The sequence below is a fragment of the Homo sapiens genome, chromosome 17 (assembly GCF_000001405.40).
Source record: "Homo sapiens chromosome 17, GRCh38.p14 Primary Assembly".
Lineage (NCBI taxonomy): Eukaryota > Metazoa > Chordata > Mammalia > Primates > Hominidae > Homo > Homo sapiens.
Window position 1 is genome coordinate 58328899 of NC_000017.11, and position 26208 is coordinate 58355106.

The following is a 26208-nucleotide window of genomic DNA, read 5'->3' on the forward strand; positions in this document are numbered from 1 at the left end:
CGCTGGACTGGTGGGCTGAACCGGCTGACAGGGTCGGGGACAGAAGGAAGAGCAGGTTTCTCACGGCATGTCAGCCCAGGGCTCCCACATGTGGCCTCCCACCCTCATCTTCACACATTCTCACACCTTCCGGAGTACAGAGGCGAGTGGGGTGCAGATGGTCCTCCCTACATCGGGTGAGACTGATAGAGACAGAACGGGGGAGGGTATGACAGAGATCCAGCCACAGAGAAGGGCAGAACTAGAAAAGATGGGACTTGAGATGAAACAAAGAGAGAGACAGAAACCAAGAGAAAGAAACCGGGAAGACAAGCAAAGAGACAGGTAGAAATAGACGGAGAATTCCTTCTGCTTCCTCCTGGCAGATTGCACTTGGGGGGCAACCTGGCTGTCCCAGGCCACCAGGGAAGCCCACATGGCCTGTTGGGTTGGCTTTGTCCCGAATTGCCTGGAAGTTCATCTTCTGTCTAGCCTTAGATCTTGTTGCTAAATAATTTGGGGGACAAGGACGTGAGAATCCCCTCAGCCAGGAGTCAGTCTATATGCAGTGGCAGGGGTCTAGACAGAGTCCCCAGAGCCAGGGGTGTTGGGAGAAGCCCCGAGAGGCAGCCCCTCTCCACTCTGAACCCGGGACTCATTAGGCAAGCCAGTTTCAGCCAAGGTCGGGGGCCCTCGTGTGGCACCCCCACAGAATAGCAGCGGTGATACTGAACCCTAGAGCCCCTGACTGTGGGCTCCACCCAGGCAAGAGCCAATGGAACTGGAGGTAGGGGGTGCATGGGGAGGAGTGGACATCTTCACTTCCCTAAAGCAGTGTGTAGGTCAACACGCACGCCACTGCATGATGTGTTGCTGTTTAGGTCAGAGTATATATGCATGCCATTATGCGCATGCGTGTGTATAGTATGCATCTATAGAATAGACATTATCTATTTCTGTATATGTGAAGGGGCCATTGTGTGTATATATGTGTGTGCTATTATGTGTCTATGAGTCACATAATAAAACGTAACAAAAACACATTGGGTGTATCTGTATGTATGTTTCTGTGTCATTGCATCTATGTTTGTTTGCCACTGTGTCTATGTGTGTGCTGTTATGTGCATGGGAGGCTATCATTGCATGAGTTTATAAATTACAACACATCATGATATATATAGATATGGATGCTACTATATGGCACAATGTAGTAATTGATTACACAATATATGACATGCTCATATCGTCATGTAAATATGCATAATGACATGGTTTGATTTATATATATATATCACCATGTATCTATGTATTCTATATTTATCATGATATATGAACATGTCTCTATCTATGTATGTGTATGGAGCCACCGTGTTTATTATGCAAATGTCACTGTATGTGTGTGCTCTTCTATGTGTAAGACACGCCCTATGTTTCTATCATTGCATGTGTGTACTACTGAATATGTATGTGCCCTGGGTGTGTGTAATCCCTGTGTGTGTCATGCCAGTCATGTCACATGTGTCTGTGTGTGTGTTACTGGCACACTGAATGGGGCCTCTGTGTGTAAATGCATTTGCATCTCAGTGTGTGCTTTGTATATGAGTGTCTGTGCCCTTGTCTAAGATGCTGTGTATGTGCCACAGTGGATTTTGCCCAATTTTTATATGACCTAGGACCCCCTAGACTTTCTTAGATTAAAACTGGATGTAGGCAGCTTTCAGTTTGGGTATGTAGGGGGGCAGGATAGGGCCAGAGCTAGGGTAGAAGGTGAGAGGATGCCTTACATCCCTGCCCCTTTCTGCAGATGGCCCAGGCCCTTCTCTCCTCCGGCTGTGGCCTGGCCAGGCCCAGAGCCCTCTTCTGATCTCATAGGCAGGGCCAAACCCGTATCTTCTGGAGGAGCGACAGAGGTTCTCCCTCCCAGCCCTTCTGTGCGCCCATACTGTCCATGTGCCTGCCGCCCGCATTCAGCTCCCCACCCCAGCAACAGAGTCTCAGACAAAAGAGAAGCACAGTCCAGTCTTTATTAGCATTGGGTCCCTGGTCCCACCACCCATTCCCCTCCACGTACCATCCCTTCCCACCCCTTCCTCGTCCTTGACGCTGCGGCTGCATCAGGGTTCCACATGTCCAGCCCTCCCCGCCCCCAAAGACTGCAGGGCAGCAGAGGAGCTGCTGTGGCCTTTCCCCAGCTGTCCGGAACCAGGAAGGGCAGGAAAGCCATGGAGGCCTTTCAGGCATCTGGGCAGGGTAGGGAGGGGCCGTAAGGTGCTCACCTGTCACACGAGGTCCCCGAGCGCCGAGGAAGATGGTGGCGGGCAGCGGGCGGCAGCAGTGGCGTGATCTCCGAAGCCCACAGTACACTCATCCATAAAGTAGGAAACACTACACCCTCCAGTGCTGTTAGTAGTGCTTTCTACTTTATGGGTGACTGCACTGTCTGTCTGTCCGTCGGCGTGTACTCTTCAGGCTGCCCAGGCCTCCTGACTCCTGCTCCAAGAGCCCCCCAGCCCTCCTTGTGGCTTCCTAAGATCCCCCCAACCCTGCCAGGGCCCCCCGAGGGCCCGCCCTGGGCCTTGTGGGCGGTGACTCAGCATGGCGCCAGACTTGCCTCCTCTACCTCCCTCCCCCACTTCCTCTTCAGTTCCCTCTTCCCTTCCCCCTAAAGGCTCCACCCCATCCCCCCAGTTTCAGAGACACTCAGGTAGAGACTAGGGCCTCTGGAGGCCTCACCTTCAGTTCTGTGAACCCCTGGCTGGCCGCTTCCAGCCACGCTAGCCACCCTCCAGCGTCCAAATGAGGCAGCCACAGCTCCCCTGCCAAGGTCTTGGTCTCCAGTCCACCCCAACCGTGAGGTCCTGACTGCCCAGAGCCTCAGTCCCCACCCTTCAGCCTCCCCACCAGCCCAAGATCCTGACCCCCCAGGGCCTAAGTCCCCAGCCTCCCCAACAGCCCAGGGTCCTGACCCCCCAGGGCCTCAGGCCCTGGCCTCCCCACCAGCCCAAGGTCTTGAACACACCAGGGCCTCAATTCCCAGCCTCCCCACCAGCTCAAGGTCCTGACTCCCCCAGAGCCTCAGTCCCAGCCTCCATAGCAGCCCAAGGTCCTGACCCCCCAGGGCCTCAGTCCCCAGCCACTCCACCAGCCCCAAAGTCCTGACTCCCCAGAGCCTTGATTCTCGGCCTCCCCACCAGCCCAAAGTCCTGACTCCCTCACTGCCCTGCTGTTCCCCTGGCAGGAGCCCAAGGCTATCCCAACAAAAATGGTGGCCATGTTGGGCGGAGGAAGAGGCTGGCGCCCCTTGAGACACTGGTCCCACTTCTCAGCCTCTGCGTACCCTCTGCCATCCCCGCCTTACTCTCCAGCCCTCCTCCTTGGACACCTCTTTCCCCGCCTGGGGTCCCGGAGCCATTTTACCTTCCTTCACTAGAGAGGGTTTCAAGGCGCTTTGCCCTGAGCTTCCCGCATGGGGCTTGCACCCAAGCTCCTCGACACCCCCAACGCGCCTCCACCCAGACCAGCAGCCCAAGCCCCTAGAGGCCCCGAGCTGAGGAGCCCCAGTTGGGGCAGCAGTGAAGGTCCGGATCCTTACCTGAGGCTGCAGGGCGGAGGAGAGCTCGCCCTGTGCTCCAGGCTCCGAAGTGGGGTTCCCTTCAGGGAGGGCAGGGCTTATAACCCCGAGGCCACGTGGGCCAGATCTCAGGGCGCCCAACGGTCTCAGAGCGCGCCCCGCCCCCGCCCGCAGGGGATGAGCGCCCTCCCTCCCTCCCTCCCTGGGGAGGACAGACTGACAGGAAACAGAAGGGGGTGGGCCCGCGGGAGGGCTGGGGACCCTCTCTCATGCCCTGGGCAGGTGGCTTCCGGCCCCAGCTGCCCTTCCCCCCGTGGCACCAGCTCCAAGGGATGGCTCAAGAGCCTGGGACTGACTCAGGGCATTGAGGGTGACCCCAGAAGACCAGGGCTCCTCGACAGGGCCCTCGGTGAGTGCCCAAAACGGGGAGTCCAGAATTCCAGCACAAGAAAAGGACCTTCTCTCTGAGCCCCACCGCTGCTGACCTCAGCCCAGAAAACTCCCTTCCCTTCCCAACACTCAGGCCAGGCCCTGGCTCCTCTGCGTGTGCTCCCGAGGGCCATGGAGGTGCTGATGCATGAAGGGCGTCCATGGAGACTGTTGTCCTCAGCACCCCACAAAGCCACCCCTCCTGCAGCCTCAGCCTGCAGGGCACAGTGCGGGGGACACTCTCAGGCCCGGTGGACTGATGGCACTAGGCTAGGTGTTCACGCTCTCTTTGGGACCTGTGGGGACAAGAGGGCAGGGCAGAGCTGGGTGAGGATCAGGTCCTAAGGTGGGGCACAGGTGCTATGCGGAGAGAAGGGGGCTTGGAGGAGTGGCGGGAAAGAGGCTCGAGGGAAGGTTCTGGCGGCCACCGGATGTGGGCATGGGGCCCACCCACCTGCATGCCACCCCCGATTTCCCCATGGGGAAGGCAGGAAGCTGCCCAGCCCAGGGCCCCTGGCTGGGGGAGGGGAGTAGGGTGTGGGGGTGGGCAGGGGACAGCGTCGGCTGAGCCCAGCCCATACCATCTTCCCCCAGCGTTCTCCAAGCCTCTCCATGGGCTTGGCTCTGGAAGCAAGAGGAATGGGTTTGGGGAGGTAGGAGCGGTAGAGAGAAAACCACCCAGTGACTCCTTCCCAGAAGGCCATGGACCTCTTCTCTGGGTCCTCCGTTTAGGCCCACACAGACCTTAGGGAGCTGTCAGATTCAGGGCCTAGAAGAGGACTGGCATGGGGGCAGTGGGGAGGGAGATGGCCCCACATCCTTCCCTCCAGGAAGGGGGTCCTTCAACCTGGAAAGTTGCCCCATTCCCAGGTCCCTAAAATGGGACAGAGAAAGGGGGAATGGGGCCTTTCACCCCCTTGAGTCTAAAGAGAAAGTGGTGAGGAGGGTTGCCTTGCAGGGCCAGCTGGCCAGAAATGGGGCGATACTCCTTTAAGAGACCACCGCTGCCTCTGACCTGGGTGGAGGGGAAGTGGCTGCCCCAGGCGATAAGAGGATAAGAATATCAAAGTTGTGCAGTAACCTGGGTTCCTGGACCCCCATTCTTCAGGGCTCCTCCCCTGAGAGCATCTTACCTCCTACTCCTGCTTATGATGCCTCCATAGCCCTCACTTCAGAGGCGTCCTGTCCCCACAAAAGAGAGTCACAGAATGGGACCCAGGAGCCCGGCTTCTGGGCCCAGCTATGCCATAGACCCCTCAGCATGTGACCTGTGGCGAGTCAGAGCTGAGGTTCCAAGGGACACACATGGCTCCAACAGTCTCCAATCTAGCCCTTCTCCTGTCCTGAGCAGGGTGAGGTGTCCCTGCTGCCTGTTGTCTTGTGACAACAGAGGCTGATTTTCTCTGTACAACCTCAATGCCTAAAGACCACCAATAGTTTTTATTTTTATTTATCTATTTTCTTTTTTTGAGAAGAGAGCTTAGGGCCCAGCTTCTCTGTCAACGGAGCTTCTGGGGTCAGGGGGTTTCTGGATAGTCTAGGCCCTCTGCTGGTTCCCATCCCGAGGCTGGGGCTAAAGAAGGATGGAATGAGGACCTGGACTTTCCCCAGCCCAGCGATGACTCCCGACTCTGCTGGGCCTCAAACCAGAAGAAATGGTACAGGGCCAGAGACAAAATCAAGGACAGGGGAAGGGGCAGAGTCTAAAATAAGAATACAGAGACAATAAGAAACTTTGTGAGAATGGCTAGGATACATGGAATGGGCCGTCCACCTGTGACTGGAACAAGGCTGCTGGACTCGAAGCCTGACGTAGGCTGCCACCACCCAGATGCGTGGCCTGTGTGACTGACCAGCAGGTGCCTGAGGGAAGAGCAGCCAGTGCCTGCATGGAAACACACATGCAGACACAGCGGCCCAGAGAGCCCAAAACATTCAGACACAGACACGCTGTCGCCGACACACCCCGCAGTCCTGTACACACACCTAGAGGAGGCCTATCTACACTCCTGGACACACCTGCGTCCTCCCCAAGAGACACAGGGAGGGTCACCTGGGAATCTGGGGCCAGTGCTTGACAGGGTGACTGGAAGGAGCTGGGGGTGGATTCAGAACATAAGTACCTCTGTGAGAGTGGCCTGGCTCCCACTCCTGCCTCCAAAGCCACCTGTTGCCTGAGTTCCCCAGGATGAGAAAAACCAAACCCTTGATGTCTTTGTGGAGAGAGGAGTTCAAGTTGATACTTCAAACTCCGCCTCCTTGGCGGCCGATCCAGGTTCAAGCAGGCTGTCACTGGGCAACCTTGGCTCACTTGGACTTGCTGTCAAAAGTCCCCCACGGCCCTCCCTGGTTCTGACATTCAGATTCTTGCTCAGAGGAAGTAGGGGGCGGGGGCGGCAGGAACAAGGTGGGAACAGCCCTTCATCAGGATAGAGGGATCTGGGCTTGGAATCCTGGAGGGCTCCAGGCTCATGGTCCCTCACTGCCACCCCCACCTTACCGACCTGGGGGACAACCATCTCTGTGTGCCAAGCTGAGGCTGTGGGTAGGCAAAGGTGAGCCGGCAGAGAAAAGGACACAGGACCTGTCCTTGGGCACTCCCAGCCTGATAGGCAGTGTGTACGAGTGTGTGTGTCAGTGCAAGTGAGTGTCTTGTACCCAAAGCAGGGGCAGAGCTTCAGGTCTGATGGGGACACTTGGTTCCTACTTCTAGTGAGCACTGAATCTGAGGGTGAAGTAGACACACACATCTACATTTAACATAGTAACGGCAACAGGCACAAGGCCATCCCAGGTGGCAGTTGCCAGGGCCCAAGGGGCTGGGATGTTGGATGCTGTAGTAGCAACCTTAGAGTCACAGGAGTCCCATCAGAGAAGGCTTCCTGGAGAATGTGAGTACAGGTGGAAGAGGGTTTAGAAGGAGAGATTGGGCAAGGAGGAGAAACAGGGAGAAAATTGTCTTTTGAAGGCCTAATGCCTGTAAGGAGAGCAGGCCCAGAGGGTGGAAGAAATGACACAAGCTCATTGTCCGCACATGAAGGCAGAAAAGAAAACCAACCCTTCCCTGCCATCTGCATGGGCCTGGGGCCCTCACTCACAGGCAGGCAAGCAGCCAGTGGGAGATGGCAGCCCAGATAACCTGCCTTACAAAGAGCCAACAAGAGAGAAGCCACAGACTTAACCACTCACAAACAGGAAGTCCAGAAGGCAGAGCAGACCCGCCCTCCAGTAAGCTACAGTTGGGGACAGGCCTGGCCACAAAGGAGGGAAACTGAGCCCCTAGCATTGCAAAATGGGGCTAAAGCAAATTGGAGTCAATAGTCCCAAATGTTGAGACCCTTCCCCATCTCCCTGGAGGGGCAGCCAAGGGAAGCAGGTGCCAAGAGAGGCAAGTGCCTTAAGAACCTAAGACAGCCCATGTCCCCTACAGAGATCATCTCAGCACCTCAGAAGATCTGTCTCATCTCAGAGCCTTGGGAGCACAAGGAGTGCTAAAGGGCCTCCAGGCAAGGAGGGCGGGCAAACTGGCTGCCCCTCAGCCCCTGCCTGCTCGTACCAGACTCCCCTAGGTTTAATTTCATACTCTCCTGCTCTACTCTGTCTGGCAAGGGGCAGCTCCAATGCACAGTGGCCCACACTAGGAGGTCACTTCGCACTGGGGCAGGGTTCTGGCTCAGATCTCCTGGGATCATAAGACCCAAGGACTTTTAAGCAGCAAGGTTAGGCAGCAACTGGTCCCGAGTCAGGAAACAGAGCTGCAAGCCCAGAGAGAGGCAGAAGGCAGCCTGAGGTCACAAAACAAGTTAGGGCCAAGTTGGGTTCTTTCCACAACATCTGGGAAAAGGCAGGACGGGCTGGGTGGAAAGGGGGTGTGGGTGTGAGGAAGGCTACCCTGACCACTGCTGTGGGAGTGGCCGTGAAACCAGAAGCTTTCTCCTCTGGGATCTTCTGGGGACACAAGTGGAGAGATGAAAGCTCCCTCTGGACTCTCTCCACACACAGGTGCTGGGTTTAACTTGCATAGCTGCACCTGCTCCAGTTCCAACTGCTGCAAATAAATTGTGTGTGTATGTGTGGCGGGGACAGGGAGGGGGTCCAAGAGCTGGTTTTCTGCCTGGAACCCACTACAATCCCTCATCAGCCCCACTCCCTATCCCAACATCAGGATCACCAAGCAGAGGATAAAATTAAGTGTCAAGAAACTAGGGGTCTAATCCTCACCCTGTGATTATTTATGGTACAATTCTGGGCCAGTCACTGAATCTGCCCCTAAACCCCAGCCTGTTTCTTCACCTATAAAAATGGGGAGGGAGTTGACCAAAAGACTTGTTTGTGCTCTAGGAAGTCCCCAAGAGCACAGGAGCCCAGAGACCTCGCAGGAGGAAGCAGCAGTATCTGTGTTCCAAATCCTGCCCAGCCCCCAGGCAGCCATGGTATCTTCTCAGCTGGCTCGAGGGCACACCTCCCAAAATGCAGAGAAGGCAGGGTGGCTAGGAATGGCTCTAGTAGAATTCTCCCCTTATCTTGTCTGGAAACAAGGGGCAAAGAGCTATCTATTTCCTCCTGCCAGCCTCCTGCCCCCAACAGGATTCCTCACATCCCAGGACCAGCTGGAAAAGGTGGTGAGAGTTGGAAAGAGACTGCTCAGTGAGGACTGCCCTGCGAACCAGCTTGGATTCATCCCGTTCACCTCCACGTTCTGCACTCGGGGCCGAGGGAAGGGAGGCAGCCCAGGCAGCTAGAGAACTTGATGAAACACACTCAATCTGAATCTCGCTTGATCGTCATGCTGACCCAGTGAGGTAAGTGATGGTATCCCCATCTCAGAGATGAGGAACCGGAAACTCAGCGAGGTTAAGTTTCACCTTCCTGAAAATCGGGCACCCCGTTTCTGTTCCCCAGAGGGAGCTCAATTCAAAGTCCCCAAAGAACAGGTCTTCTGTGAAGACCTGTTCTCCCCTCACAACCCCGTTGGAAAAAGCAGTGGGAGCGACCCAGGGCGGACCCTCTGGCCCAGGCTTGTGGGTTGGGGGGCAGAGGGGCCTAACTGGGTGGCCAGGTGGCCCGCAGAGTCTCTCCAGCAGCAGATGGCCTCCCCAGCCCTTTCCTTCAGAGCCTATTAAGCAGTCAAATGGGGGAGGGTTGGCCCCCAAGGCCAGGGACCCAGCAGCAGCAGCAGCTCACAGCACTGGAGCCGTTAAAAAGTGACTCAACCAGAAAGTGCGTTTGAAGTGACGCCCGCCAGGGCCCCAGAGCCCCAGAGCCCCAGAGCCAAACCTCAAAAAGACGAAGTGAGAGAGACAGGCCTGCGGGGGCTGGGCCGGGGGTGGAGACCCAGCCTGGAGCTGGCCTGGCCAAATAAGGGCAAATGCACTAGGGCGGGCCAATGGGGCAACAGCGGCTGGCTGCGTCATGGGGCTGCGGCTCTGGGGAGGGGGAGGTGAGAAGCCTGGGACAAAATGGGGGTGGGTGTCAGGGGTCCCGGCACCTCTTCGAGGGGTCCCAGGGTGGGTGAACACAGGAGGCATGGAAGCCCTCACCCCCAAGGAGCCTTTGTTACTAAGGTCAGTGGACCTGCAACCCCAGAGCCCCACCTGCAGGCTGGATGGGGTTCAAGGAAGAAAAAGGGAAACCTGGAGGACCCCCATGCCCCTGCCCCAGTTATGGGCCCTGGATCCCCATCTGCCATGGAGAACTGAAGGGAGGCCATAGGGACAGCAGCGTTGTGCAAGGGGAAAGGCTGAAGCACCAGTGCAGCTTCACCAGGCCACTGACTGTGGGCGAGAGATGTAATGGAAACTCAGTTTTCTCATCTGTGAAAGGGGAATAATATTGCCTCGTGGGATGGCACTGAGGGTCAAATGCAATAATAGAGGTGGCCCATTTTGAACCTGGAAATTGCCATAGGGATGTAATAGATGATTAGTGTAGAGGCACAAGGCCAAAGGCTGCTTCTTAGATTCTTGTTTCCAGGTGCTATAAACGATCCCTTTGCAAGGATATCATGTGGTTCTCAATTTTGGCCCCTGGTGTCTAGAACAAGGTAGGGGGAGGTGCCAAGGCCAGAGGGATTCCTGAATCTTAGTCCCTAAGCAAAAGCAGAAGAGACTGATGCCTGCCTGCCTCCAGCTGATTCCCCAGGGACATACCCCCCTTCATTTCTCCTGCATCTCCTCACCTTCCATGAATCCAGACCATGCCCCACCCCTCCTCCTGAGACCCCGCCCTCCATCTCCCGGCCTCTCTGGGGTGCAGGGCAGAGGAAGTGAGTCTACTCAGCTGACCAGAGAAAGTGCTGCAGCTGCCTGCACAGGGTGGGCCGACTGCTGTCTTGTTCAGTGCCTGTGATAACTCCCTTGCCTCAGGCCTCTCCAGCCCCTGCTGGGACCACTGGCCCAGGAGGAAGTCTGGGCTCTGGCTGCCACCTGCTTCCTCTCAGGAGTTCTTCTCCCTCCCAAGCATGGATTTGCATTTCCCCCTCTGCCTTCTGCTACTCAAGCCCCCAGGGATGAGGTGACAGTTAACCCCCCACTTCCTGCTAGTGGCCCCAGAGCGCTCACTTCCTTCCAGGTATTTTCCGGGATGGGGGAAGGGGTTGAAAGGGTGGTAGTTGCTGGGTTTGGAAAGGGGATGAGGGATCCATTTTGGAGAGAAACTGAGGTCCCCCTACCCTGCTGTCTGAAGCTGCTCCTTCCCTTCCCTCACGCTCACTCTGTAACACAAGAGCTCAGTTTGCAGGAAGAAGAGTGCATAGGCCGGAAGCAGCACACAGGGGCTTTCAAAATGGGCTAGGCCAGCTCTCTCTTAGAGGCCCAGGCCTCTATCCGCCATAGATAGACCCCCAAGGAAAGTTCCTTGGACTTCAAGTTCCCTATCGGGACAACATAATGTCTGCCCTCTACCCGGAAGGCAGAGGGTTGAGAATGGGGGAGTGCCAAGGCATAGAGGGGAAATGTTTTCCATCCTATTTCTCAGAGGATCTGGCATGCTGGTACCAGCAGCACAAGGCAGAGTGTTCTCTGCACTCAGTTCCCGCTTCCTGGGATCTTATGGCAGAGAAACACAGCATCTTTAGACAAGAGGTACTGAGCTAGGCAGTGTAGGACATACAAAGTAGCAGCGACCCGCTCCTGAAGTCAAGCTGACCAGTCTCTGGGGCTCAGTCCTCTCCTCTAAAAAGTGAGGGGCTGGCCTAAGTCATGACTCCCCCAGTCCTAATGTTCTGTGGTCTGCCTTCACTCCTCTGTAGACTCTGCATTTCACCTTCCCACTGGTGAAGGCCTCGAAACCCCAAGACTGAGGCAGGCAGCCATGTGCTCTTCTCCCCAGTCTAAACCTTATTGGTGCAACCTATAGCAATTTTTACCAAGTGTGGCTGTCTGTTCTCCTAGGTCAGACAAGACTGGAAGGGGGACAGCCACACATGAGCAACAGAAGTGACAGCTGACAGGTTGCTATGAATCCAAGAGGTAGAAAAAGAGTCAGTCCCGGAACCATTTCACCACATGATACAAAAATGGAGGTTTACAACAATGACTTTGAACCAAATCAGGTTAAATCACATTCAGAATCTTGTATCCAAATAGCAAGGAAGTATATAACACATTTTTAAAAATTTAAGCTAGGTGTAGTGGCACATGCCTGTAGTCCCAGCTACTTGTGAGGCTGAAGCGGGAGAATCTCTTGAGCCCAGGAATTCAAGGCCAGTCTAGGCAACATAGTGAGACCCTGTCTAAAAAAAAAGAACCACAGAAAAACAAACAAAAAAACAAAAAAAAAACCCAAACCAAACTTTATCTTATAAAAAACGAGAACATAAAGATTAAAATTTTAAAAAAACCTTGGCCAGGCACAGTGGCTCACGCATATAATCCTAGCCTTTTAGGAGGCTGAGGCCGAAGGAACACTTGAGGCCAGGAATTTGAAACCCTGTCTCTACAAAAAATACCAAAAATACCCCCAAAATGAGCTGGGTGGAGTGGTGCGCACCTGTATTGTTAGATACTCTAGGAGCTGAAGTGAGAGGATTGATTGAGCCCAGGAGCTGGAGGCTTCAGTGAGCTACAATCGTGCCACTGCGCTCCTGCCTGGGAAACAGAACAAGACCCTGTCTTTGGAAAAAAAAAAAAAAAAAAAAAGCCCTGGTGCTTGAAGGAAAATGTTTCTGTTTTGATTCAGTTTTGATGTATTTATGTATGATATATGTGGTGGAACACCTATTACCATTACCCAACAATGCTGGAAGGATGAAATTCTTGTCACACCTATCTAGAACTTACCTAGAGATAGGCAACCTTGGATAATGACAATTCCTTACATAGTTTACAACTCTCAAATTGCTTTTGCCTAAATTATTGTATTTGATTTTTTTTTTTTTTTTTTTGAGACAGGGTCTTGCTCTGTTGCCCAGGCTAGAGTGCAGTGGCACAACTGGGACTCACTGCACCCGTGACCTCCTGGGCTCAAGTGATCCTCCTGCCTCAGCCTCCCAAGTAGTTGGGACTACAGGCGTGTGCCACCACGCCCAGCTAATTTTAAAAAAATTTTTAGTAGAGACAGGGCATCGCCCTTTGCACAGGCTGATCTCAAACTTCTGAGCTCAAGCAATCCACCTGCCTCAGCCTCCCAAAATGCTGGGATTACAGGCGTGAGCCACCACACCCAGCCAAAGCAAACTTTTTATTTGAAGTATAACAGTGAACAAATCCTAAGTATATAACAATATATTTCCAGAAAGTGAACTGACCTACATAACTAGCATCAAGATCAAGATAAAAGGCCGGACGCAGTGGCTCATGCCTGTAGTCCCAGCAGTTTGGGAGGCCGAGGTGGGTGGATGGCTTGAGCCCAGGAGTTCGAGACCAGCCTGGGCAGCATGACAAAACCCCGTCTCTACCAAAATATAAAAATTAGCTGGATGTGGTGGTGGATGCCTGTAGACCCCGCTACTTGAGGCACTGAGGTGGGAGGATCAACTGAGCCCAGGAGGTTGAGGCTGCAGTGAGCCATGATCATGCCACTGCACTGCAGTCTGGGTGACAAAGTGAGACCCTGTCTCAAAAAAAAAAAAAAAAAGTGAAAGAAAATAAAAGAAAGAAAGAAAGGGAAGGAAGGGAGAAAGAAAAGAAAGAAAAAGGAAGGAAGGAAGGAAGGAAAGAAAGAAACAAAATATAACCAGCACCTTAGGTGCTTCTCATGCCCTCCTCCACCACCACCTATCACAGCTAACCACGATCCTGCCCTTAACATCATAGTTTTGTCAACTGCACTTCCTAGACAAGAAACTTCATTTTAGAGGTGACTTGGGAAAGTCACAGGGTTGGTGGCTGGTGGAGGCAGCAGGGCCAGGACTCTGCCCTTAGTTAGATACATGTATTTTCATCGCACAAGTCTCAGTGTTCCAGTGGGGTGTGACGGTGCCATCATCAGTCTGCAGATTGAGGGAGGTGAGGAGGAAAAAGAGAGGTTGGGAGGTGTGGGGCACACAGGTCAGCAGGTGCGTAAGAGCTGCTGGAGTGGAATAGAAGATGCAGCCAGGGGTAACTCATGAAGGGCTAGACTGGTTTCCCAATGCTCTGCACAGGAATCCTTGAGTAAATCCCAAGGATCCCCTCCCTGGGCCATTGCCCCACTGCCTCCATCTCTTTGGCTAATTTTAGACTTAGGGACTAGAGTGGTGGGATTAGAGTGGTTGGTGGGCTCAACGTGTAGGGACAATGTGTTGTAATAACTTCACTCAGAAGAAAGCTAATGCCTCACACTGGTTCTGTTGAACACTTATGGAGGGAAAAAAACTTGCTGTGTTTGTGGACAACTATGTCACAAACAGTTAGTAGCCCTAAACTTAGTGTGGACATTATATTTCTTGAGCTGAGGCTCCACTACTTGATTATGGCTAAAACACTTTTAACTCTTTTCTTCCCCACCCCGAGACAGAGTCTTGCTCTGTCACCCTAGCTGGAGTGCAGTGGCACGATCTTGGCTCACTGCAACCTCCGCCTCCCGAGTTCAAGCACTTCTCCTGCCTCAGCCTCCCATGTAGCTGGGATTACAGGCGCCCGCCACCACACCTGGCTAACTTTTTATATTTTTAGTAGAGACGGGGTTTCACCATCTTGGCCAGGCTGGTCTTGAACTCCTGATCTCATGATCCACCCACCTTGGCCTCCCAAAGTGCTGGGATTACAGGCATAAGCCACCGTGCCCAGTCAAGACACTTTAACTCTTTGAGTCTCAGTCTCCTCATCACCAAATAAGGATGTTAACTAGTTCCAGGGTTTCTGTGAGAATCAAATGAGATACTGGATATGAAAGCCCTTTGTCAACTGTATTTGGGTTTGTTTTGTTGTTTTCTGAGACACGGTCTCACTCTGTCCCCCAGGCTGGAGTGCAGTGGCGCCATCACGGCTCACTGCAGCCTCAAACTCCCAGACTCAAGGGATCCTCCCACCTCAGCCTCCCAAGTAGCTGGGACTACAGGTGTACACCACCATGCCTAGCTAATTTTTTGTAGAGATGGGCTTTTGCCATGTTGCCCAGGTTGGTCTTACACTCCTGGGTTCAAAGTGATCTGCCCGCTTTGACCTCCCCAAGGTGCTGGGATTAGAGGCATGAGCCACAGCACCCAGCACCTTTGTCAACTGTAAAAATATTTACATGAAAGGCTTTACTGATACTAAACATGAACCAGACTTCCAGACAAAGTTATTATTAGTCTGTTCTTAAACATGACCTACCTGCCTCTTTCATAGAGACCAGATGTCAGGGAGGGGACCTGAGGATCAAGTAGCAGGCTGCAGACAGACTAGGAGTAACAAGGCAGAAGCCACACCAAGAGCAAAGCCTCAGTTCCCAACCCTGGTGAAACTGCTCCCCTCCAAGACCAGACCATCCTGACCCTTGCTCTATCAGCTACCAGTCCTTTCTTGAGCTGGAGGCTGCATTATCAATGCACTGCCACTGAGCTCCTCAGTGTTCTGGGAGACCCTAATTCCACAGTATGTGGCAGGGAGGAAGCAGGGAATGAGGCAAGGGCAGGCAAGGGGAAGGCAGCCTGGCTACTATTCCTAGTCTCTGTCTGACTTGCATCTGTCCTTGTTGAGCTAGGGAGGAGGCTTGCTCTTCAGGAGAGAAGCCAAACTACTGAGCAAGACAAGGAGAGATCTTAAGATGCTATGCACTCAGAACTTCGGCAGCCAGGACGGGACTGAAACTCTGACAGACACAATGGGCCAATGGGGCAGGACATAGCTCTCATGGCTGCCCTCATAGCCATGGAAAGCAGGGCAGCAGTACCAGGACCGCCCACTCCCAGGGAGCTGTGAACCAAGTCCTTGTCTTAGTTTCTTTGGGTTCCCAGTAGAGGATGGGACTCCAGCACCTTTCTGCCTGTCTGGGTTGCTGAGTGGCACCACCTGCATGTTCAAGTACCAGAGAAAGCAAGAAAGCTAATTCAGCAGCAGCTCCCGGGGAGAGCCCACTTGGCACAGTCTGTAGAGTCCAGGAAGGAAAACAGGCCACCCTTCCCCCACAAGCATCAATGCCTATGCTATGTCTTTTGCTTCCTGTGAGACTGTCAGTTAGGGCCCAGTTCAGTGTAGGGCTGAGGCAGCCTGAATGTGGTTATTTGTGCAAGCTCCTCTTGCCTCCCCTCCCCACAACTGTTTCCATTCTCACCAAGCAGCCACGTCCGGGTCAGACACCCAGGACAGCAGCTGGGGCTTTCCAAGGGACTTTTTGAGAAGCTAGTGAAAGTTGGGTGTTGGCTGCACAGCCTGGGCACTTGCTGAAACGCACTTCTTCCATCCAGGACGTAAGCTCTAGCCTGGCAGGGTTGCTTTCAGGTTGAAATTGAACAGAAATCACCACCCACGGAGCTTTCTGTTTGCTGGGCTGGGGAAATCCTTGAGAAACTCAGTTTGGAGTTGGGGTTATCTGACCATTCCCTCAGAGCTTGAAGGCACCAGAGAAAATGGTTTTGGTTTGAAGACCATAGTGGACATGAGCAGCCCGGCCAGTCCCAGTTTCCCTCCCATAGGCCTATGTGAGGACAAGGAAGGGGAGTAGACAAACTAATCAGAGTCAGGTCGCATCTCTCCTCCTTCCCACACTCTCCAGGCCACAGGTAACAAGCAAAATCAACTCAAGAGCAACACCAGGTGGCTGAGACACAAAGCCCTAGCACAGGCAGCTCTGCCCTAGCACAGCACAGCTCACCCTGCAGTTGTGGTTCTCAGCATTTCCCCTACTATTTTGGCTGATTGTGCACATATTCTATGTATTGAAAAATGGCCCAAAAAGGAGAGCAAAAGTATTTCACCTTTATAATACTTATATAATTTTCACATAGCTTCGTTTCTACAATCACAACAATCCTGAGGTAAACAGGCAGGGTGCAATCATTCTCTTTTTAGAGGGAGAACAAGGAACTTAGGGAAATCAAAATGGGGATACGAACAGGATTTCTGTGGAAATTTAAATGAGAATTTGTGGTAAATTTTTTTATCCTAAAACAACTCACCTTGGCCGAAAAATGGGATGTTACCCAAGGTCCCCTACTAGGCCGGAGGAGAAAAGGACCTACCTCCTACAGGGGCACAAACAAGGGAGACTAGGACTCAATGGTCGCCCAAGGCCCAAGGGTCTCCAGTGAGTGCTTGAGACTGGCCTAAGGTATAGGAAGAGCCGTGAAGAGAAGAAAATAGACAAGCAGGGGAGGGAAGAATTATTAAACATGGTCAAGGAGCACTCTACAAAGCCTCAGGATTTCTTCAAGGGATACTGCTGTGCCAGGTCTCGAGGGCAGAAGGATACAAGTGTGAGACACCAGGGCCACCAAGTTGATGGGGTTACTGAGCCTCTGGATCAGCACCCTCCGATAGGAAGCAAGGAAGCACACTACAAAGGCTGCAATCCCAGAGGCTGAGACAGTCAAGAGGGAGTAGAAGGGCCTCTGCTGCTCTGGGAAGGTTCTTATAGGGCAAATAAGCTATTACTGTGCCTAAGAGAATGGAAGAGGGAGGCAAGGCAGGTGTCATGGCCTTCAGAACTTTCTCGAGGTTCATATTTATTGACATTTGACCTAGAGTCCTTGGCATGGGGAAGGCACAGACCTGGGCCACGGGTAGGAAAATCAGCATCCTACTCTCTCCTCAATTCCATCTGTTAATCCACCAACCCAAATCCCTCCCACCCCACCTGTAGTCCAAAGAAGATAAAATGATAAAATGATGTGCTGCTCTCTCAACAGTCAGCTGAGTCTGAATTGGAGGGTAGGAAGTATTTGAAGTTCTGTTCATTTAGTTCCAGAACAAGAAATAAGCAGAGGCAGGAGGTGGAGAGCAAAGATGCTGGCAGCCTTGCATCTTGCTAGGTCTTTATAGCTGTGTCTCTGGATTTGTAGGCCACTCCTCGACTTTTCAGCTCCCGCACGATTCCTGAAGCAGGAAAAGAAACAGTTCTGTGAGGTAAGATTCAGAAGGGTAAGATAGGCCACTCAGCTGCCACCTTGAGGGGGGTACTATAAGCAAACTGGAGTTCCTAGACTACTTATCAATCGTCTGCTTGGCCAGGCACGGTGGCTCATGCCTGCAATCTCAGCACTTTGGGAGGTCAAGGTGGATCACTTGAGGTCAGGAGTTCAAGACTAGCCTGGGCTACAGAGCAAGGCCCCATCTCTACAAAAAAATTTTAAAAATTAGCCAGGTGTAGTGGCTTGCACCTGTAGTGCCAGCTATTTGGGAGGCTGAGGCGGGAGGATCCCTTGAATCCATGAGTTCAAGGCTGCAGTGAGCTCTGATAATGCCACTATACTTCAGCCTGGGTGACAGAGACTCTGTCTCAAAAAAAAAAAAAAAAAAAAAGGTCCTGCTTAGTTGACTCATTACTAGTGAAGACCCAGGCAGGTATTCGGTAAGAATGAGAAGAAAAAGAGGGATACATGTAGTCATCAAAAGCAAAGGTTCTAAGCCAAGCACCTGTAGTCCCAGCTACTCAGGAGGCAGAGGTGGGAGGAGCACATGAGCCCAGGAGTTAGAGTCCAGCCTGGGCAACATAGTGAGACCTTGTCTCTAAAAAAAATAAAAAACAGAAACAGCAAAAATTCTGGAGCCAGAATGCCTGGATTCCAATCCTGGCTCCTCATTTACTACCTGGTGACCTCCAGCAAGTGATTTAACCTCTCTGTGCCTGGTTCCCCCCATCTGTAAAATGCTGAACCTCATAGAATGTGAGAATTGGCATTAATTCAGATAAAAAAACTTCCACAGAGCTTTACAGTAAATGAACATTGGCTGTTATGATTATTATTACCTTGGGGCAGGCGACCAGTGACTGACACCGCATATACACCTGGCTTAAAGTTACCTGAGAGAGAAGAAAAAAGATACAAGATTACAGTGAAGTTAGTTAAGACTCAAGATCAAATGGAAGCTTAAGCTAAAGAAGTGATGCAACTCCAAGAGAAGAGCTATTCCCTCTTTTGGCTACAAGTGTTAAATGACAAGGCACAGGACACTGCTTCCCTGTGTTTCCTACAACCCGATCTTTCCCACCCTGAGGTCACTCATCTTGCTGATTTGAGACTCCCTAATGGACCTGAGGAACAGTAACAACACTACAACTAAGCCAAAAGGAGACAGGCCAACACTTACTGACTCGCTGCCACTTGGAGACCCAGCTGTCCTCTGGACTCATCATCGCAATGATTCTAGGGAGGGAAAAGAAATGGAGAGTCAGCCTGAGCCTCCCTGGGCCTGAGCTCAATTCTGAGAGAGGAATCTAGGAAAAAGCCAAGTACCGAGTCTCCACTGGAAAGCTGGCAAAACTGCCTTCTGATGTTGGGATGAGGCTGACTCAAAGCTAGGACTGACAAAAGTTCTTCATTCTTATGTCCTTGGCCGGCCAGCCACAGGTCAGTTTCCATCCCCAAAAGATTATCTCACTCAGCTCACAAACATCCTTAGCCTAACATTCCCTAGAAAATGAGACGGCTTTAGGACAAGGGGTCCAATAGTTACAACTAACACAACTACAAGGGGTCTAGGGCCTAGTGCAAAGAGGAGGGTGAGTGAAAACAACGGATCCTCCTACTAGAAAGGAGTTCAACTTGGCTAAACTTTTCCTCTTAATGACCTATACATATGGGGACCCCTCTAATGACCTATACATGTGGGGTTCCCTTCTCAGAACCTCATCAGTAAGCTGAGACTCAAAGGTTGAGATAATACATGAAAAACACCTAGCACAAAGACTAGCACAGAGTAGGTGCTAAATAAGCATTAGCTCTCCTCATTATCCTAATAGTCCTTCCCAGGTAGCTGTGATTCCAGAGGAATGGTAAGGCTATTCAAGGGCTAGAAGATGCTGCTTGAGCAAGATGGGTAAGCATTTTTGTCATTCAACGCATTCAATCAAATGCTTACTGACTGCCTATTGTGTGGGTGTAAGCACTGACATTTGTTGACTGCCTCAATATGCCTCCCCTCTTCTCTCAGTAACAATCTTGGATTCTTATTTGAGAAGATTCCCTTCCCATCCAAATCCTACATTCTCAGCCATGCGCTGTTAAGTGGAACCGACCCTACCTCCAGGGGTGACAAGCAGAACACTAGCCCCCAGCCCTGCAGCCTGATGGGAGATAGGCATGTATGCAGGCCATCCTCCTGACCACAAGTATATTCTTCTCTGTCCTTTGCAATCTATCTTTTTAGCCTTAGGGTCCCTACAGCCCAACCTTATGATTTAACCTAAACAGAATTCCCACTGTTCTCCAAAAACATCCTGGTTTTTCCCATCCTAAGCCTTTGCTCTAGTCACTCCCTTTATTTGGAATGTTCTCTCTCTCTCTCACCTCAACTTCCTCAAAAATCCCAAACTTCTTGCCTTAAGAGGAAAGTACTACCTCTTCCAATTCTGGTTGAGGTCATCTAGCCCTCTTCCGATCTTTAATTTGCCCACTCTTTAAGACCTAATATGCACTAGAATTATACAAATAATTCCTACAACCTAACAACAAAAAAACCAAACTGAAGTCAAAAATGAGCAAAGGCCTTGAATAGGCATTTCTCCAAAGATATACAAATGGCTATAAGCACCTAAGAGGCTCAACATCACCATTCATTGGGGGAAATGGGACACCAAAGTCACACCCATCAGGATGGCTATTATTAATAAATAATTAAGTGTTGGTGAGGATGGGGAGAAATTAGAACCTTTGGGCACTGTTGGTGGGAATGGAAAATGGTGCAGTTGCTAAACAGTATGACAGTTCCTCAAAAAATTAAACACTGAACTATCATATGATCTAGCAATTTCACTTGTGGATATACAGATGATCCCTGACTTACCTTAGTTCAACTTATGATTTTTCAAATTTATGATTTTGCAAAAGTGACATGCATTCAATAGAAATCGTTTTCAAATTTTAAATTTTGTTCTTTTCCAGGCTAGCAATTCAGTACAATATTCTGTCATGATGCTGCGCAGCAGCCATGAGCCACAGCTTCTGGTCAGCCACAGTAACATAAGCGTTCTGAGCACATTTGAAGTAGGCTAACTTATTATATTCAGTAGGTTGGGTGTGTTAAATGCACTTTTGGCTTATATTTTCAACTTATGATGGGCTTATTAGGTTGTAACTCCTCGGAAGTTGAGGTGCATCTGTACTGAAAATAATGAAAAGCAGGGACTTGAACACATATTTGTATACCAATGTTCACAGCAGTATTATTCACAAATAGCCAAAAGGGAGAAACAACCCAAGATATCATTGATGAATGAATGGGCAGCAGAACATGCTATACACATACAAGGGAATATTATTCAGCTCAAAAGAGGAGGGAAATTCTGTTGCATACTACAATATGAATGAACCTTGAAGACATTATGTTGGTGAAAGAAGCTAAAAAATGCTACTGAATGAGCCCATAGGTACCTAAGGGTGCCTAAGGTGGCCAAATTCATAGAGACAAAGCATGGTGGTTGTCAGGGACAGGAGGGAGGAGAGAACGAGGAGCTAGTGTTTAATGGGTACAGATGAAAAAAGTTCTGGAGATGGATGGTGGTGACGGTTGCACAACAGTGAGTATGCACTAATGCCACTGAATTGTGTATTTAGAAATGGCGACCGGGCACAGTGGCTCATGCCTGTAATCCCAGCACTTTGTGAGGCTGAGACGGGAGGATCACCTGAGGTCAGGAGTTCGAGACCAGCCTGGCCAGCATGGCAAAACCCTGTCTCTACTAAAAAAAGTACAAAAATTAGCTGGGCGTGGTGGTGGGCGCCTGTAATCCCAGCTACTCAGGAGGCTGAGGTAGGAGGCGGAGGTTGCAGTGAGCTGAGATCGTGCCATTGCAGCCGGGCGCTGTGGCTCACTCCTGTAATCCCAGCACTTTGGGAGGCCGAGGCGGGTGGATCACGAGGTCAGCAGTTCAAGACCAGTCTGACCAACATGGTGAAACCCCGTCTCTACTAAAAATACAAAAATTAGCTGGGTATGGTGGCAGGTGCCTGTAATCCCAGCTACTCAGGAGGCTGAGGCAGAGAACTGCTTGAACCTGGGAGGCGGAGGTTGCAGTGAGCCGAGATTGCGCCACTGCACTCCAGCCTGGGCGACAGAGCGAGACTCCATCTCAAATAAATAAATAAATAAATAAATAAGTAAAATGGCTAAAATGGGCCGGGCATGGTGACTCATACTTGTAATCCCAGCACTATGAGAGGCCGAGGTGGGCAGATCACCTGAGGTCAGGAGTTTGAGACCAGCCTGGCCAACATGGTGAAACCCCGTCTCTACTAAAGATATAAAAATTAGCTGGGAGTGGTGGTGGGTGCCTGTAATCCCAGCTACTCAAGAGGCTGAGGCAGGAGAATTGCTTGAACCCAGGAGGCAGAGGTTGCAGTGAGCCGAGACTGCACCATTGCACTCCAGCATGAGTGGCAAGGGCGAAAAGTCTGTCCAAAAAAAAAAAAAAAAAAAAAGCAACAGCTTTTGGGCAATGATCTACCATTACTACACCTCCCTTCCCTTCATTTTCAAAAAAAATTTTCATGCATTTAACAAACATTATTAAGATTACATTCTTTCTTCTCATGTTAAGTCTTTGAAATCTGGGGTATATTTTATACTTAAAAGCATGTCTTAATTTGGACTAGACACATTTCAAGTGCTCAGTAGCTACACGTGGATAGTGGTCACTGTATTAGATGCATAGCACTAGTATGTCCCAAAATAACTGTTGAGGCTGGACACAGTGGCTTACACCTATAATCCCAGCACTCTGGGAGGTTGAAGTCAGAGGATCATTCCACGCTGCAGTGAGCTATGATCATGCCACTGCACTCCAGCCTGAGCCACAGAGCAAAACCCTGATTCAAAAAAAAAAAAAAAAAAAAAAACCCACACAAAATAACCCCCAAAAACGAATGGCTGGGCCCAACTAGGATTAACACTTGCCCTGCATTTACTTCTCTGGGTGCAGGTTGGGTAATGCAGAAGTGAATGATGGAAACTGAAGCGGCTTACCCATCAAAGGAAGAGCTAGTGCAGTCATATACCATCTCTCGGTTACCCTTCATTTGTAGATATGCATCACAATTGTCACAACCATCATATTCAAACTGGTCTATAGTCTGGGAGTGAAAGAAAAATAAAGGAAAAGGAGAGATAAGCATGAACAAGACCAAGAGAAAAAGTAGCTTTCTCAATACTTCGACCTGCTCAATTTCTTGTTTCCCTATGTTGACTGTGTATCCTAAGGTTCCCCACCTACTACTCTCAAAGCTTCATTCCTAAGTCCCACCCTCCCACTCCTTCCTCTCTCGTTCCCAATTCCGTTTTATCTATTCCTTTCTCTAGTCTACTCAGGGTCAGGCATCCTTTCCGACTACTCACTCAGCAGCGGATCCCCACCCGCCTCTGACTCCCAGTGTCTTTCGGCTCCAACGTAAGTTCACCGAACGTCTAAGAGCTGAGGATTCAAAGGCATGTAAGACCGCCCCTGCCCTCAGCTGCAAGACCTGTCCGCGATCCTACGAGGTAAACGATGGCCTCCTTCGGCTTCTCACTCCCCCTGCCACCTCTGAGTTCTGAGACTTAACTTTTCTCTTTACTGTCCCACAGCCCCATTCCGCCCTCTTTCCCCGACCTTGGTCCCCCATGGGCCCTACAACCAGGTCCCCGACTGACACCTTGACCAGCGAACACAGCAAACAGGCCCGCAGATGCCGCAGGTCCTTCGGCACCGTCTCCAGGGCCATCTTCGCCGATGGGAAGAACAACAGGGAGATAGACGACCACAGCCTGTGCACCCGCAGGAAGTAAATAGCTCGTTACCCAGAATGCCCACCACTTCCGGCGCTTAGACTTCCTCTTCCGGTGTGGGCGGACGCCAGCTCCGCCCCTACCCCCGCCAGAGGAGATGGTTTCTCCCGCCAGCAGGCGGGGAGGCTGGGCGGCCGGCCGCCACCTGGGCCGGAGCGCGTCGCAGCCACCTGAGCCCGCCGAGGGCGCGGCGGAGGCTGTGTGGGGTAGTCAGCGGGCCCCCGGGGCGGGGGGGCGGCTGCGCTTGCGCGGGAGTGTGTCGGGCTGAGCCGCAGCGCCGAGACGCGGGCTGTTTGATCTGGGCTGGTGGCCCTGGGCGTCGGTCCTGTTCCCCGATGGTAACCCGAAGTTTGTTTTTTTTTGTTTTGTCTCCCCGTTTTAGAAGCATTGGGGGCAGTGAATCCACTGTCTCCCTCTGGATTGTCTCTGCAGAGACCGAGAAGAAATCCAGGGACAGCCCCACCCCTCCTTCCTAACTGCGAGAGCGCTATAGGGTTTCCACTTGCTTCCCACAGGAATGCTGGCCTGGGAGCTACGGCGGAAAAAAATGCGTATTTATCTTTTAAAACTCCGTCTGTTTGCTCGTTCCGGCTGATAATTTATACTTTGCGCAGTTCTTAGCGCTTAGACACGGTTCCTTTACTAAAGACCATTTGTAGGAGATTAGGTGTCCTTTTTTTCCCTTTCATTTCACCGTCTAGGAAGCGAAATGCCTTGTTCTATAGGCACTAAACCACCACCCCTACCAAACCTTTCTCGGGGAAGCAGAAGGGGAACTTGTGCCTTGTGAGGAAGCGACAAAGGCCCCTTCTGGCCCTGGAGACTTCACGCCAATGGAGCACCAGCTCTCTGTCCTCGCAATAGCCCGAGTGCAGGCAGAACGCAGTCATTTGTGTTTATCTGAGAGGAGCTTTGGGATATAAATAGTTTCAGGCCCCGCTGCGCTGTCATTCCAGCCCAGCCTCCTGATTGAGCTGCTTCCGGGCGGGCTTTCTTCTTGTTGGCGGTCCCATGCTGTGTTCAGATGGGCTCTGTGACAGGTTTGGATGTTTTCTATCACTGAATAAAACTTTCCACTTTGGAACATATTTTCTACACTCTATTATCTCATGTAAGTCCTGCAACAACTATTAAGTAGGCCCATTTTATGGACTGAAAAAGCGAGGCACAGAGTATTTGCCCAAGGTCTGAGTCACTGAAGTATGATAATGTGTGAAGTGAACAGTATAATAATAATGACTGAAGCACAGTAAGAATCCAGTCATGCTTTCTCCTTCCCTGATCTCACTAAGCCACACTTTTAGGGGCTTACAAACCAGTTCTTATTGCCAAGCCCTCTACTCTACCCTATCCTTTCATGAATCGGAGCCTAGCCTCTGATAACATAAATAATTTACTTCTCTTGATGTAGAAAGAGATGACGTTGTTACCCTGAGTGACAGTCACGACAGAACAAAACCACAAGACCAGACCACATTTGTGGATAAATATATTAGCAAATAAATATATTTCTTAACATAGTGCCTGATTCAAGCGTCTGTCTGGTTCAGATATAAATACCCATGTGGGTACCTAGGTGCTAGTCTCCCCACTAACTGAGGGAAAAAGGTTCCCAGGTGGGGTCCTCTGCCCACTTTGCCACCACATTCACATTCCAAATGGGATAATGCCTGAGGGGCCAAGAGTGGTCAGGCTGCCCTGGGGTGAATGTCACCCTGATGAGGCCCATCAGCTCTTGTCCACTCAGTGAGGCCAGACTTGTGCTCTAATCCACTCTCCTGTGGGTCCCTGGCCTGTATGGCTTATACTGGGGAGCTGGGCCTCTGGGCTGTCCAAACCCAAGGGTCACACTTTGCTTTTCCTTTGTTGTCCCCATTTTCCATCCTTGCTCTAAGACAAAACTTTTCCCAGAGAAGAACTCTTTGTTGTCCCCGCTCAGCTGTAATTCTGCCTTTTCTACCTTCATTCCATCCTTCCTCTGCCCAGATAAAGTCCAGCAGAAATTCCTCCTTTCTACCTCTCTGGGACTCTGAGACAGGAAATCTTCAAGGAGGAGTTTTTCCCTCCCCACTATTCTTATTCTCAACCCCCAGAGGAACCAAGGCTGCTGTACCCACCTCAGGGACAGAACTCCACACTATAGTGGGAAAGCTTCAGGGACCCCTCCTTTTAGTGCTCAGGGCTCACCTATGCTACTGGTCCTTTTGGCAAAAAAGGAAAATGATAGAGCCAGGGTTGCCCCTGATGTAGCAGCCTTACTGTGGAGGGGCCAAAGCTGGTGTTCAGAGCTCACCCAAGGAGGGAGGTGATAAGGTGTCATGCGTTCTGCTGAACCCACTGGCTGGTATGAACATGAGGCTTGGGGTGAGGGAAACCAAGTAGGGGTTGGAGAAGGAGCAGCACCTTTGTAACACCTGGCTACCCATAGCTAGCTTTCTGCCCTCAAAAACTCAGCCTTCAAGGGATCCAGCCCACACACGCCACAGGCAGCAGCTGGTTGCCTGGCTGGACATGGATTTGCTGCACTGCAGATGTTTTCTGCAGACAAGGTCTGGAGCTGGAGCAGGAAACGGCACCCTCTCACCCTCCACCATCACCAGTCCTCTTCCAGTGCTTCTAGGAAGTACGGCAAAAAGAATGGTGTTTGCTGTGGTCCTTTCCTTTCCCAGGAGCAGGACTCTGTGCCAGGTAGGGCCCAAACACATCTGGAGCACACTCTTGGTTGGAGCTAGGCCTGAACATCTCACACAGCCTGTTCACACAGCTCCTCGAGTTCCTCCTCTGAGCCTGTATTTAGAGAGCGGGGAGGAAAGAGGTCATTGAGGGTCAGGCCAGGGACCTGCTTCTCTCGCCTGCAGCAGAGTGTGGCTGAGAGGGGACCACAGGGAGGGAGAAGCAGAGACTGTC

The 26208-nt window shown here is 51.4% G+C and overlaps 2 protein-coding genes, 2 long non-coding RNA genes and 2 other non-coding genes across 19 annotated transcripts in view, besides 27 other annotated features; 1 reads left to right on the top strand and 5 right to left on the bottom strand.

The window, feature by feature from the left end:
- Nucleotides 1-24829, top strand: part of TSPOAP1-AS1 (TSPOAP1, SUPT4H1 and RNF43 antisense RNA 1) — a 28278-nt gene extending 3449 nt beyond the window's left edge. Inside the window, exons 1-4 of one of the 9 annotated variants that reach the window (NR_038411.1) lie at nt 40-176; nt 8550-8781; nt 22837-23016; nt 23101-24829. This is a non-coding gene — a long non-coding RNA (TSPOAP1, SUPT4H1 and RNF43 antisense RNA 1). Of the gene's footprint in view, nt 1-39; nt 177-706; nt 767-8303; nt 8782-17381; nt 17446-22836; nt 23017-23100 lie in introns of those variants that run through there. The other 8 variants (NR_038412.1, NR_038413.1, NR_038414.1 and 5 more) reach the window with 8 other exon arrangements.
- Nucleotides 370-539: an enhancer, noted in NCBI's record as "active region_12465". NCBI's record gives its function as "activates an Ori minimal core promoter by ATAC-STARR-seq in GM12878 lymphoblastoid cells {active_cell/tissue: GM12878}" and the evidence as "EXISTENCE:reporter gene assay evidence [ECO:0000049][PMID:35858748]".
- Nucleotides 640-719: an enhancer, noted in NCBI's record as "active region_12466". NCBI's record gives its function as "activates an Ori minimal core promoter by ATAC-STARR-seq in GM12878 lymphoblastoid cells {active_cell/tissue: GM12878}" and the evidence as "EXISTENCE:reporter gene assay evidence [ECO:0000049][PMID:35858748]".
- MIR142HG (MIR142 host genes) lies at nt 1990-3622 on the bottom strand. The gene has a single exon (NR_186557.1). It is a non-coding gene; the product is annotated as an MIR142 host genes (long non-coding RNA).
- On the bottom strand, nt 2334-2420 carry MIR142 (microRNA 142). The gene has a single exon (NR_029683.1). It is a non-coding gene; the product is annotated as a microRNA 142 (primary transcript).
- Nucleotides 2510-2649: an enhancer, noted in NCBI's record as "active region_12467". NCBI's record gives its function as "activates an Ori minimal core promoter by ATAC-STARR-seq in GM12878 lymphoblastoid cells {active_cell/tissue: GM12878}" and the evidence as "EXISTENCE:reporter gene assay evidence [ECO:0000049][PMID:35858748]".
- Nucleotides 3450-3519: an enhancer, noted in NCBI's record as "active region_12468". NCBI's record gives its function as "activates an Ori minimal core promoter by ATAC-STARR-seq in GM12878 lymphoblastoid cells {active_cell/tissue: GM12878}" and the evidence as "EXISTENCE:reporter gene assay evidence [ECO:0000049][PMID:35858748]".
- Nucleotides 3630-3939: a silencer, noted in NCBI's record as "silent region_8766". NCBI's record gives its function as "represses an Ori minimal core promoter by ATAC-STARR-seq in GM12878 lymphoblastoid cells {active_cell/tissue: GM12878}" and the evidence as "EXISTENCE:reporter gene assay evidence [ECO:0000049][PMID:35858748]".
- Nucleotides 4020-4089: an enhancer, noted in NCBI's record as "active region_12469". NCBI's record gives its function as "activates an Ori minimal core promoter by ATAC-STARR-seq in GM12878 lymphoblastoid cells {active_cell/tissue: GM12878}" and the evidence as "EXISTENCE:reporter gene assay evidence [ECO:0000049][PMID:35858748]".
- Nucleotides 4680-4769: an enhancer, noted in NCBI's record as "active region_12470". NCBI's record gives its function as "activates an Ori minimal core promoter by ATAC-STARR-seq in GM12878 lymphoblastoid cells {active_cell/tissue: GM12878}" and the evidence as "EXISTENCE:reporter gene assay evidence [ECO:0000049][PMID:35858748]".
- Nucleotides 5350-5399: an enhancer, noted in NCBI's record as "active region_12471". NCBI's record gives its function as "activates an Ori minimal core promoter by ATAC-STARR-seq in GM12878 lymphoblastoid cells {active_cell/tissue: GM12878}" and the evidence as "EXISTENCE:reporter gene assay evidence [ECO:0000049][PMID:35858748]".
- Nucleotides 6424-6924: an enhancer, noted in NCBI's record as "H3K4me1 hESC enhancer chr17:56412683-56413183 (GRCh37/hg19 assembly coordinates)". NCBI's record gives its function as "activates a minimal SCP1, AML or CMV promoter by ChIP-STARR-seq in naive H9 embryonic stem cells {active_cell/tissue: H9 hESC(naive)}" and the evidence as "EXISTENCE:reporter gene assay evidence [ECO:0000049][PMID:30033119]".
- Nucleotides 6424-7049: a biological region, named in NCBI's record as "H3K4me1 hESC enhancer GRCh37_chr17:56412683-56413183".
- Nucleotides 6510-6729: an enhancer, noted in NCBI's record as "active region_12472". NCBI's record gives its function as "activates an Ori minimal core promoter by ATAC-STARR-seq in GM12878 lymphoblastoid cells {active_cell/tissue: GM12878}" and the evidence as "EXISTENCE:reporter gene assay evidence [ECO:0000049][PMID:35858748]".
- Nucleotides 6800-6849: an enhancer, noted in NCBI's record as "active region_12473". NCBI's record gives its function as "activates an Ori minimal core promoter by ATAC-STARR-seq in GM12878 lymphoblastoid cells {active_cell/tissue: GM12878}" and the evidence as "EXISTENCE:reporter gene assay evidence [ECO:0000049][PMID:35858748]".
- Nucleotides 6870-7049: an enhancer, noted in NCBI's record as "active region_12474". NCBI's record gives its function as "activates an Ori minimal core promoter by ATAC-STARR-seq in GM12878 lymphoblastoid cells {active_cell/tissue: GM12878}" and the evidence as "EXISTENCE:reporter gene assay evidence [ECO:0000049][PMID:35858748]".
- Nucleotides 7070-7611: an enhancer, noted in NCBI's record as "H3K27ac-H3K4me1 hESC enhancer chr17:56413329-56413870 (GRCh37/hg19 assembly coordinates)". NCBI's record gives its function as "activates a minimal SCP1, AML or CMV promoter by ChIP-STARR-seq in primed H9 embryonic stem cells {active_cell/tissue: H9 hESC(primed)}" and the evidence as "EXISTENCE:reporter gene assay evidence [ECO:0000049][PMID:30033119]".
- On the bottom strand, nt 7078-7124 carry MIR4736 (microRNA 4736). The gene has a single exon (NR_039889.1). It is a non-coding gene; the product is annotated as a microRNA 4736 (primary transcript).
- Nucleotides 7240-7449: an enhancer, noted in NCBI's record as "active region_12475". NCBI's record gives its function as "activates an Ori minimal core promoter by ATAC-STARR-seq in GM12878 lymphoblastoid cells {active_cell/tissue: GM12878}" and the evidence as "EXISTENCE:reporter gene assay evidence [ECO:0000049][PMID:35858748]".
- Nucleotides 8650-8719: an enhancer, noted in NCBI's record as "active region_12476". NCBI's record gives its function as "activates an Ori minimal core promoter by ATAC-STARR-seq in GM12878 lymphoblastoid cells {active_cell/tissue: GM12878}" and the evidence as "EXISTENCE:reporter gene assay evidence [ECO:0000049][PMID:35858748]".
- Nucleotides 8950-9159: an enhancer, noted in NCBI's record as "active region_12477". NCBI's record gives its function as "activates an Ori minimal core promoter by ATAC-STARR-seq in GM12878 lymphoblastoid cells {active_cell/tissue: GM12878}" and the evidence as "EXISTENCE:reporter gene assay evidence [ECO:0000049][PMID:35858748]".
- Nucleotides 9130-9424: an enhancer, noted in NCBI's record as "tiled region #8228; K562 Activating DNase unmatched - State 1:Tss, and HepG2 Activating DNase unmatched - State 1:Tss". NCBI's record gives its function as "activates a minimal TATA promoter and a strong SV40 promoter by Sharpr-MPRA in K562 cells, with weaker activity in HepG2 cells {active_cell/tissue: HepG2 | K562}" and the evidence as "EXISTENCE:reporter gene assay evidence [ECO:0000049][PMID:27701403]".
- Nucleotides 9130-9684: a biological region, named in NCBI's record as "Sharpr-MPRA regulatory regions 8228 and 8679".
- Nucleotides 9390-9684: a silencer, noted in NCBI's record as "tiled region #8679; HepG2 Repressive non-DNase unmatched - State 1:Tss, and K562 Repressive non-DNase unmatched - State 1:Tss". NCBI's record gives its function as "weakly represses a minimal TATA promoter and a strong SV40 promoter by Sharpr-MPRA in HepG2 and K562 cells {active_cell/tissue: HepG2 | K562}" and the evidence as "EXISTENCE:reporter gene assay evidence [ECO:0000049][PMID:27701403]".
- Nucleotides 10170-10229: an enhancer, noted in NCBI's record as "active region_12478". NCBI's record gives its function as "activates an Ori minimal core promoter by ATAC-STARR-seq in GM12878 lymphoblastoid cells {active_cell/tissue: GM12878}" and the evidence as "EXISTENCE:reporter gene assay evidence [ECO:0000049][PMID:35858748]".
- Nucleotides 10360-10469: an enhancer, noted in NCBI's record as "active region_12479". NCBI's record gives its function as "activates an Ori minimal core promoter by ATAC-STARR-seq in GM12878 lymphoblastoid cells {active_cell/tissue: GM12878}" and the evidence as "EXISTENCE:reporter gene assay evidence [ECO:0000049][PMID:35858748]".
- Nucleotides 10910-10959: an enhancer, noted in NCBI's record as "active region_12480". NCBI's record gives its function as "activates an Ori minimal core promoter by ATAC-STARR-seq in GM12878 lymphoblastoid cells {active_cell/tissue: GM12878}" and the evidence as "EXISTENCE:reporter gene assay evidence [ECO:0000049][PMID:35858748]".
- Nucleotides 15320-15849: an enhancer, noted in NCBI's record as "active region_12481". NCBI's record gives its function as "activates an Ori minimal core promoter by ATAC-STARR-seq in GM12878 lymphoblastoid cells {active_cell/tissue: GM12878}" and the evidence as "EXISTENCE:reporter gene assay evidence [ECO:0000049][PMID:35858748]".
- SUPT4H1 (SPT4 homolog, DSIF elongation factor subunit) lies at nt 16280-23303 on the bottom strand. Of its 2 annotated transcripts, none has more exons than NR_073470.2 (5): nt 23167-23303; nt 22504-22610; nt 18631-18686; nt 18290-18343; nt 16280-17415 (listed from the first exon to the last, which is right to left on the bottom strand). NR_073470.2 is itself a non-coding variant. In NM_003168.3 (5 exons), exons 1-5 carry the CDS (start codon nt 23235-23237, stop codon nt 17348-17350), a joined length of 354 nt encoding a protein of 117 aa, NP_003159.1. In that variant the 5' UTR covers nt 23238-23303; the 3' UTR covers nt 16280-17347. The 2 variants fall into 2 exon arrangements, 1 of the variants encoding a protein (NP_003159.1); NM_003168.3 differs by having other exon boundaries at nt 23169-23303.
- Nucleotides 22877-22986: a silencer, noted in NCBI's record as "silent region_8767". NCBI's record gives its function as "represses an Ori minimal core promoter by ATAC-STARR-seq in GM12878 lymphoblastoid cells {active_cell/tissue: GM12878}" and the evidence as "EXISTENCE:reporter gene assay evidence [ECO:0000049][PMID:35858748]".
- Nucleotides 23267-23696: a silencer, noted in NCBI's record as "silent region_8768". NCBI's record gives its function as "represses an Ori minimal core promoter by ATAC-STARR-seq in GM12878 lymphoblastoid cells {active_cell/tissue: GM12878}" and the evidence as "EXISTENCE:reporter gene assay evidence [ECO:0000049][PMID:35858748]".
- Nucleotides 23602-26208, bottom strand: part of RNF43 (ring finger protein 43) — a 65035-nt gene continuing 62428 nt past the window's right edge. For 4 of the 5 annotated variants that reach the window (NM_001438822.1, NM_001305544.3, NM_017763.6 and 1 more), the window contains one exon: nt 24778-26088. In NM_001438822.1, coding sequence (NP_001425751.1) covers nt 26045-26088 — 44 coding nt within the window. In that variant the 3' untranslated portion in view covers nt 24778-26044. Of the gene's footprint in view, nt 26089-26208 lie in introns of all 5 variants that reach the window. The other variant, XM_047436332.1, reaches the window with a different exon arrangement.
- Nucleotides 24084-24619: an enhancer, noted in NCBI's record as "NANOG-H3K27ac hESC enhancer chr17:56430343-56430878 (GRCh37/hg19 assembly coordinates)". NCBI's record gives its function as "activates a minimal SCP1, AML or CMV promoter by ChIP-STARR-seq in primed H9 embryonic stem cells {active_cell/tissue: H9 hESC(primed)}" and the evidence as "EXISTENCE:reporter gene assay evidence [ECO:0000049][PMID:30033119]".

Coding starts and splice junctions, on each gene's coding strand:
- SUPT4H1 (NM_003168.3), bottom strand. CDS start 23,237: ATGGCCCTGGAGACGGTGCCGAAGGACCTGCGGCATCTGCGGGCCTGT. Junction 18,687..22,503: donor ACTAGCTCTTCCTTTGATGG/GTAAGCCGCTTC, acceptor TTCCCTCCCTAG/AATCATTGCGATGATGAGTC. Junction 18,344..18,630: donor CTCCAAGTGGCAGCGAGTCA/GTAAGTGTTGGC, acceptor CTTCTCTCTCAG/GTAACTTTAAGCCAGGTGTA.